This window comes from Homo sapiens, chromosome 16, assembly GCF_000001405.40.
Source record: "Homo sapiens chromosome 16, GRCh38.p14 Primary Assembly".
NCBI lineage: Eukaryota > Metazoa > Chordata > Mammalia > Primates > Hominidae > Homo > Homo sapiens.
In genome coordinates, this window is record NC_000016.10 from 26,472,567 (window position 1) to 26,478,792 (window position 6,226).

Here is a 6,226-nt window from a genome sequence, read left to right on the forward strand (position 1 = left end):
AAAGGAAACAATCAATAGAGTGAAGAAACAACCTACAGAATGGGAGAAATTATTTCCAAATTATGCATCTGACAAGAGGTTAATACATAGACTATATAAGGAACTCAAAAAACTCAATAACAAAAAACCACAAATAATCCAATGTAAAAATGGGCAAAAACTTCAATAGACATTCCTCAAAAGAAGACATTCAAATGGCCAACAGATGTATGAAAAAATGCTCATCTTTACTAATTATCAGGGGAATGCAAATCAAAACTACAATGACACCTTATCCCAGTTGAAATGACTATTACCAAACACAAAAATAACAAATGCTGGTAAGTATGTGGAGAAAAGGGAATTCTTATGTACCACTGGTGGTGATGTAAATTAGTACAGTCCTTATGGAAAATAGTACGGAGATTCCTCAGAAAATTAAATATATAGCTATCATATGATCCAGCAATCCCAATACTGGGTATATACCCAAAAAAGTCATAGAAAAAAATTAAAAGGAGCAAATAAAAATAAAGCTATGATAATTAAGACAATGTGAGATTAATAAAAACCAGTGAATCATAATAAATCAACAGGACAGAATACAGTATGCAACTAGAGCCTTACATTTATGATCAGTTGATTTTCAAAAATGGTGCACAAACAATTCAATGAAACATGATAACCTTTTTAATAAAAGTTTCTGAAACAACTGGATATCCAGATGCAAAAAAGTGAACTTTGACTCATATCCCATGCCACACAAAAATGAATCAAAATGGACTACAGACCTAAATGCAAAATCTAAAACTACAATGTTTTTAGAAAGTGACATAGAAGAAAATTGTTGCCTTCTTGCATTAGGGAAATATTGCTTAAAAATAACACCAAAAACTCAATTCGTAAAAGAAAATTGATAAATTGGACTTCATCATAAAGTAAAACATTTGCTCTTCAAAAGGCATTATTACAAAAATAAAGAGGTGATTCACAGACTGGTAGAAAATATTTATAAAACACATCTATCAAATGGTTTATATCTTAAAAATGTAAGAAATTCTAACAACTCAATAACAAGAAGACAGATGCCCTAAATTTTAAAAAAAGCAAAAGTTTTCAGCAGGCACTTCACACAAAAAGATAAATAGATGGCAAATAAGCACATTAAAAGATACACAACATAATTAACCCTGGGAAAATTCAAATTAAAAGCATAACAAGATAATATCATGTACCCACCAGAATGCCTAAAGTTAAAGATAAGTCATGCCAAATATTGGTAAAGATAGTAAACAGCTCTTACATACTGCTGGTGGAAATATAACATTGCATAACCCCTGTGGAAAACAATATGGCAGTGTCTTAAAAAGTTAATCATGTACATATAATACCACATGGCCCAGCTATTCTTCTAGGTACTTATCCAAGAAAAATGAAAGTATATGACCACACAATTACTTCTAAATAAAAGCATATAGAAACATTACTTGTAATAGCCAAAGACTGGAAATAATGAAAACGTCCATCAACAGATGAGTGAATAAATAAATTGTGGCATATCCACACAGTGGTGTACCACTCAGCAATGAAAAGGAACAAAATATTGATAACTATTGTGTCCAGAATTGGTTCCTTCCAGTAGGTTCTTGGTCTCCTTGACTTCAAGAATGAAGCCGCAGACCCTTGTGGTGAGTGTTACAGTTCTTAAAGATGGTGTGTCCAGAGTTTGTTCCTTCAGATGTTCAGATGCGTCCAGAGTTTCTTCCTTCCGGTGGGTTCGTGGTCTTGCTTGACTTCAGGGGTGAAGCTGCAGACCTTTGTTGTGAGTGTTATAGCTCATAAAGGAAGTGCGGACCCAAAGAGTGAGGAGCAGCAAGATTTATTGTGAAGAGCCAAAGAACAAAGCCTCCACAACATGGAAACGGACCCGAGCGGGTTGCAGCTGTTGGTTGGGTGGCCAGCTTTTATTCCCTTATTTGGCCCTGCCCACGTCCTGCTGATTGGTCCATTTTACAGAGTGTTGATTGGCCCATTTTACAGAGTGCCGATTGGTCCGTTTTTACAGAGTGCTGATTGGTGCGTTTACAAACCTTTAGCTAGACACAGAGCACTGATTGGTGCATTTACAAACTTTAACTAGACACAGAGCGCTGATTGGTGCGTTTTTACAGAGTGCTGATTGGTGCATTTACAAACCTTTAGCTAGACACAGAGCACTGATTAGTGCATTTACAAACGTTTAGCTAGACAGAAAAGTTCTCCAAGTCCCTACCCGACCTAGAAGCCAAGCCGGCTTCACCTCTCACTATTAAATATGAGTGAATCCCAAAATTATTCTTAGTGTAAGAAGCCAGACAAAAGGAGTACACAGGGTATGATTCAATTCATAAGAATTCTACAGAATGAAAATTTGTCTATAGGAACAGAAAGCAGACCAGTGGCTGCCTGAGGATAGGTTGGGAGAAGGGAATGATGCAGGATGTGGTGCAATTTCAACCCTCACGCTTTGCAACTGCTTTGGAAAGGGGTTGGTGGTTTCCTATAAAGTTAAATATACACTTCCTATAGGATCTGGCAATTATATGATTAAAAGATAAATAAAATGATATGTTCATAAAAAGCCTTGTACACCAATATTTTATAGCAGCATTTCTCATAATAACCCAAATGTCTTGCGAAAGGTAAAAGCTTGAAAAAGTGATATATTTATGCAAAGGATACTTGATAACAATGAAAAAGAACAAGTTAGTGATACACACAATAATGTGGATGAAACTCAGAAGCATTATGCTGAGCAAAAAAGTAAGATAAAAGGAAAGCAGGATCCCTTTACTTGAATTTCTAAAATAGGCAAAACTATAGCGATAGATACCATATCAGCAACTGCTTGGATTATGCAGTCAGAGGCGATTTACTGCAAAAGGCTCCTGAGGAAACTCTCTGACGTGAGAGAAACATTCTCTGTCTTTATTGGGAATGATGCTTACACGGGTCTATAAACTGGCCAAAATTCATAGAACTATACACCTAAAATATGTCCTTTTTATTGTATGTAAATGATGCTTCAGTGCTGTTGATTTTAAAATGGATAGAGTATGGAGAATTGGAAACAGAAGTGAAAGAGAACAAGTCCCCGAGGCCTTAGGATTTGTGTTTCCCCAGTCACTTTATAAGAAACAGCAGGTGGCTCTTGCCAAATTGAGTTTATTTTTAGGCAAACAGTTCATTGGTATACCCTAGGGGGTTATTTTCTAGCACTGAGTATTTCCTTTTGCATTTTGTTCTCTGCAAATAAAACAAAATAGTTGGAATGGAGCTTGGCTAAATAACAATTGAGAGTGTTTTGTTCTTGCTGGGATACATAGTAGCGGATCCAAGGTTTTGCTTACATGGTTTCACTCCTGCAGTTTCCATTACCAGTGGTCAACTGCAGTCTGAAAATATTAGGATATTTTGAGAGGAGGTCAGAGGAGAAAGAGAAAGAGAGAGCACATTTATATAGCTTATTTTATGGTATTATGGTATTTTATTATAATTGTTTTATTTTATTATTAGTTATTGCTTGTGTTAATATCTTTCTCTGCCTAATTTATAAATTAAAGTGTTTTGTTTTTTTTGTTTGTTTGTTTGTTTGTTTAGAGACAACATCTCACTATGTTCCCCAGGATGGCCTCAAACTCCTGGGCTCATGTGATCCTCCCATCTGCCCCCTGAGTAGCTGGGACTACAGGTGCACGCCCCCACATCCAACTTATAAATTAAATCATAGGCATGTATGTAAAGGAAAAAAAGTAGCGTACACAGGGTTCGGTACCATCTTTAGTTTCAGGCATCCACTGGGGGTCTGGGAACATATCCCCGATGGAGCAGGGGTGACTACTGCATCTGGAAATCAAAGTTTAATAGCATTTTCTCTAATCGTGATGATTAGTACTTTACAGATGGCCTCTGGAATTATGAACATGAAAGGAAGAGCGATGGGCTGGGTATCAGAAGACCTGAGGTGTTCACACAGTGCCGATAAACATCTTTGTGACCTCAGGAATGCTGCCTCCTGACGCTCAGCCTTAATCTCTTCATCTGGAGAGAAAGGGTGAGTGAGCCTCCGTTGGACTAAGCAGTTAAGAAAGATTCAACCGTGATCGTGTCTGTGAATTCATTTTTGAAGTAAAACAGTGAAAAATAATATCAATTAATTAATTAATTTCATTAATCACTTAACTTTAGAGAAACAAAGGATGTACTTTAGCCAGAATTACGCAGGATGGGGCGGGAGGGAGAGCACCCACATTTCATGGTGGCCATCTTAAGTCACCTGAAATTGTGATGCGGAATGGGTGAAGCAAAGAACGTAGAATCAGAAAATCTTGGTTTGTACTCCCAACAATTTAATATAGAAAAATATCAACTAATAAGGGGCAAATTATTTAACCCCTTTGGACCTATGTTTTTCTAGCTATGTAGTTTTAATGATTATGTGGAGTTTTACTAGAATACATTGAAATAACTTCTGTGAAAACATATAATGTAGTGCCTGATCAATAGCTTATTTTTAAATTAAATTTTGGTTATATGTAATAAAAATAATAAATAATAAAAATTTAATAAAATTTAACAATAAAAAAATAATAAAAATGTTCTCTAAAGTGTAATGTTTAGCCCTTTGAAAACAGTCCATGTAATCATGAAAGGCAAAGTAATGCAGCAGACGGTGTTCTGGTAACAACAGCAATGAGGATAATAAAGATCATAATTATTATTATAAACATTTATTGAGAAGTTACTATATGCCAGACTCTGTACTGATTGTTTTTCCCACACATCTCACTCAATCTTTTCATTAACCTGAAAGACAGGTGCTAAATACAATTTATCCTCATCTTACAGATAAAAGCCAAAGGTCAGAGATGTTAAGTCTCTTGCCTAGAGTTACACAGCTAGTGGTGCTAAGATGGGATTGACTGCTCAGCTTGTTCCAGGCGCCAGTCTAAACATACCAACTGTGCCATTGAAAAGATTTCACTATTGCTGAAATGTGCGCTATATGCAGTTCAATGACAGTAAAATCATAGTGTGAGAGATCCCACAGTACAGAGGTCCTGCTGTCTGTCTCTCAGAGGGAAATTGTTATTGAGGCCTTCAGGCTTTTGTCATTACAAAACATTTGTGCATCTCCAGGCATACCTGCAACTAGATGCTCATTTGGTAAGATGCAATCAGAAGATTCCAGAGCAGGTTGCTTTTACCCCCATTGATAAGCAAACATATCCATTGTACAGATGCACCTGCTGTTTGCAAGGATTCCTACACCTGATCCTTTTTAAAAAGAAAGAACATTTTGCAAGGTAGGAAATTCTTAAGCCCTCATTTAGAGGTCTCACAAATTCACATTTTTCTAAATATGCTTTCGTATGTGTGGAAGAAAGAAGGGCACAGGATGGGAAACATAAAAGATGGCCATAGGTGGACTGTTTCTATCTTTTTTTATATATCAGTTTTCTATTCGGATGGCCAAATGGAAAATTGGTGTAAAAATAAAGGTAAAAATGGTTATTAAGCACTTGTTCTATGTCTAGCACCCTTTTAGATAGTTTTCACTTGAGCACTTTCACTTGAGCCTCAAAACAAGCACACTACGTTGCATATGGTATTATAGGATTGTCTAGGTTATGCAGCAGTTAATCAGTGAACTCTGAAATTTCAGTGGCATCCCACAACAACAGTTTATGTCTCATACTAAGAGCCCAATTTGTATCATTGAGGAGTTCTGCTCCACATAGCCATTCAGGGACTCAGGCTGATGGATGCTCATCATGTGGCTGCCACAATTATTGTACTGACAGAAACAAAAGCTGAAGAGGCACACAATGCCTTTTAAATGTTTCATCAGGAAGTGGCACATCACTTCTACTCACAGTGTATTGGGCTGAATTAGTTACACGGCTTTGCCTAACTGCAAGAAGGCTGGGAAATGAGTGGTGAGTAGGAGAACATTGATATTTGGGAGTAGATGTTTCTAACACAAATGAGTGTTATGATCTCCAATTTGACAGAGGAACTAAATGGATCAATGAGGTTACTTGACTTAAGGCACACAGTTTTAAAGCAGCAAAATGGTATCATAAATATATGTCTTCTAAAATTTGATTTCTGAATTACTACACTGTCAAATTCAAATGTCGAGCTTTTACAACAACAAAATCACAAAACATATACAGAGCAGGCAAGTATGACCTATTTAAAGGAA